General features: G+C 50.4%; 1 annotated feature.

Moving 5' to 3' along the window:
* Positions 699-1,333: an enhancer, noted in NCBI's record as "H3K4me1 hESC enhancer chr5:3890331-3890965 (GRCh37/hg19 assembly coordinates)". NCBI's record gives its function as "activates a minimal SCP1, AML or CMV promoter by ChIP-STARR-seq in naive and primed H9 embryonic stem cells {active_cell/tissue: H9 hESC(naive and primed)}" and the evidence as "EXISTENCE:reporter gene assay evidence [ECO:0000049][PMID:30033119]".

The raw sequence follows: 3,405 nt of genomic DNA, 5'->3' as shown, positions 1-3,405 counted from the left end.
AAGACACTGTGTACTAATATTGACTTAATGAGTTCTTTACATAAAGCATGCAAACATAAGTCCCTCTTCTAAAGAGTGTGCACAGTTCATTCCCTTAAGTTTGGCATAGTTGTGTGGCACCCAGGACCCCACACACCTTTCTGCAGGCGTTGTCCTTTAGGGGAGCTGACTCGCTTCCACTCCCCCTCCTCCCAGGGGCAGCTTCACAGCTTGAAGTGGAGAGCTGACCTCAACACACAACAGCAGGCAGCTGTTAGGAAACAGGAAGCCCCCCACTGAGCTTCACAGGTCGAAGATTGGGAACTTGAACCTCATGAGAAAAACAACTCCTGATTTTGGTTAGCCTCAAATAATTTGGGTCAACAACACAATACAACTGTAAAATGTTAACATGGTCTCAGGCCTTGCTCTCAGAGGAACACAGACTTATTTCCAATCTAGCAAGGTCACAGGGCATGGAGATCCTAGTAGATTCTAGGGTCATGTCCTCAGGGAGGTGAACATCCTGAGGTGGTGCAGGCCTCAACAGTGGGAGGTTGTAGCCTGCCCTGCACCCCAGGACCTGAAGGGCACGGCCTCTAAAGCTCCTGAAGGGCTAGTGGCTACCTGCCTTCCAGGGCACGGCTGCTGTCTTCTGGAAGGAATAGGGCAGAGGCTTCTTTCTGCATTATTACAAAAGCAGGAGATGGTACATCTTCCAGTCCAAGTCATGAAGACCCTGACAACAGAGCGGCATGGGCTGGCATTGTCCGTCGTGGGTGGAGGTGGGACGATTCGTTTTCCAGGTGGCACTTATTTCTCATGGTGGTAGGTGGCTCAGACTAGGCACGCCTGTCATCTACACCACGGACCAACACCCCTGAGTCTGAGCATTCCAGCCCCAGGGTGGACGCTGCCTCTGTACAATTTGCCCTGAAGTGCAAGAGCAGTGGGTACGAGATCAGTTGAGTCTCAGCGATGCTACACTTGGCACCAGCACCTACAGCAGCACTGAGCAGCCAGTCTGTGCTTACCATGCACTGCTGAATGACTGCCCAACGGCAGCCCACATGGGAACGAATGGAGGGATTTACTCAGAGCGTGCCAGGGCAGGGGAGTCAGCCACCATCACTCGCATTTCAGCAGAGACTCATATGGAGTGGTGAAGCTTCTTGATGGCAAGGGAAGCCTCAGGTGGGCCCTGATGGAGGCTGTTGGCCTGGAGAAGCTGGGGGGAGGCGCACTTGAAGCCAGGTATCCTTTGAGATTGGTTAGGGGAGCAAATTTGGTTTCCTCAGGCTGGTCCTGAGTTGAAAGTGGAGGTAACATGAGGGATACTGGTAGTCATTGATTACGTGCTGACTATTCTGGGCCAATTGCTGCAGAGGCTGTGTTTTGGCTCATGGCAGATGGAGGCAGAGGTCTTGTGCCAGAGCTCTGTGGTCCTGTATGTTCTAGCCATTTTCCAGTGAACATTCCGGGTCTCAGAGCCTCTCAGGTTGGGATGGTGCCACGTGATTCTCTCAGAGGGGAGCAGTAGGAAGCTTGCAGCTGCAATCCCAAGAGTAGAGCCTGCAGCGGTGGAGGTGGCTAGGCTGTTGGAGCTGCTGAAAGGTTTTGAGGTTCCAGTAGGATTGTCAGTACCGTGGCAGGAGAGGGGTCCTCATCATGATGGTGAAAATGTGCGACCGTATTTCTTGCACTCCAGCCTACTGTTACAATTCAACCACATTGGGTTTTATCTTAATGAGAGAAGGATGGATTATTTGTTTCATGATGAAGGTGACATTTCGGTTCCCTTTAGTGCAGGGACAAGGACAGCATCCTGCCTCCCTGCGTGGAAGTTGGTATTTTACAAAGCCAGAATTGTGCCTTTTAAATGCTCACTGGGGCAGAAAAGCCCCTTGTCAAGGGAAAGTCGTCTGTCTCTATTAATTGTGCTGTTGCTAATAAGCCAGAGAATGACTCACTGGTAACCTCAGTGCCCCATCACGTTTTTATAACCTATTTAAACTCCAATGAAAAGAATACTACAGCTGCTGCTACATAAATCACACTCAAACCTGATTTCTGTCCTTTCATGTTAATAAAATTCCATAGCCACTACACAGAAAGTCCCAAACCCTTCACATCTCAGCAGCGTGTATCCGCTCAAACAGGTGGATTTGTAAAAAGCCATTTTCATTTTTGAGCTTGACCCACTGCAGACTAACAGAACACAGTTTTTTAATACCTGTAGCCCCAGCATGGGTGCAAAGAGAGAAGGATGTGGAAACAACAGATCCCAGAGACCAGAGTGGCCGAAGCCCAAGAGACACCATGGCCTGGTATCGAGCCATCTCTGGTCTGCAAAGTACCCAGTACCCAGTGGCCAGGCTGGTGGCTTCATTTCAGTCATTCACAATTTGGGCAGCCCCCATAGCTGCTCACAGGGACAGACTGTGGGGACTGGCTCTGCAGGCAGTGGAATGAGCAGAGTGAGGTCTTCCTTCCTCCGGGGTCTGAGGAGGCCGAGGGAACCCAAGGTCTAGCAGCTGGCAGCACACGGATGCTCGCCTCTGGGTCCCCACCTCAGGGTCCACATCCAAGATCAACTTCTTTTAGCAGCTGGCTCTGGGCCCCCAGATGGATTCTGCATTTTATGGGTGCTAACCTGTGTGTCAGCCTTATTTCTCCACCTAAGGGTCCTCATCCCTGCCAGCAAACCCAGGACAGGGCTAACTCCAGAACACTTTGAACTGAGAGCTACTCACTACAGGATTTTTAGAGATGTGTGTGAAAACAGCTGGGAGGCTGCTGGCTGGAAGAAGCCCTTGGCTGGCAAACTTGACCCAGCTTCCAATGTGTGGTGCACTGTGCAAAATCTCTCCCACACCTGGAGATGGGCTCTTGAGTCCCTGATAACATAGCCCTTTCCCGTCAAGTGAGGTTTTTATCTTTGGGATGTAAAACAAGGGCCAAGCTCTGGCCCCAAGGAGCACCTGGGGACCTGCTGTCTTGCTGGTGCAGTGGCGGAAGCTTGCTGCCTACATCGTGTTCCTGAGGCTCATGTTGCAAGGCGGCATTGCTCTACATGGGCTGACTGGAGCTCTGCAGGTGTGAGGAGCTGCCCAAGAACCATCGGGAACTTTCTCCATCTGCCCCCAAGGGGAGCAACACAAGCTCCTCACATGATAATGTTGGACAAAGGCTCAGAACTTCACCTGAAATGGCAGATTTAATCTCCGGGTCAAAGACACAGCTATCACTTATGAGTTCTGAAATAAATTACTATATTAAAAATGACATAAACCACACAACTGAATCAAAAATGCTGTTTCTGGCATTTGCCCCATTTTCATTTCACCCACATGCCCAGACAACTTTGAACAATATAATTCCTGGAATGATCTGATAAATAGTCAGGAACTGATCTGTTTACCGTGG

The sequence above is a fragment of the Homo sapiens genome, chromosome 5 (assembly GCF_000001405.40).
Source record: "Homo sapiens chromosome 5, GRCh38.p14 Primary Assembly".
NCBI lineage: Eukaryota > Metazoa > Chordata > Mammalia > Primates > Hominidae > Homo > Homo sapiens.
Note: the sequence above shows the minus strand (reverse complement) of the source record. Positions and strands in the feature narration are given on the sequence as shown.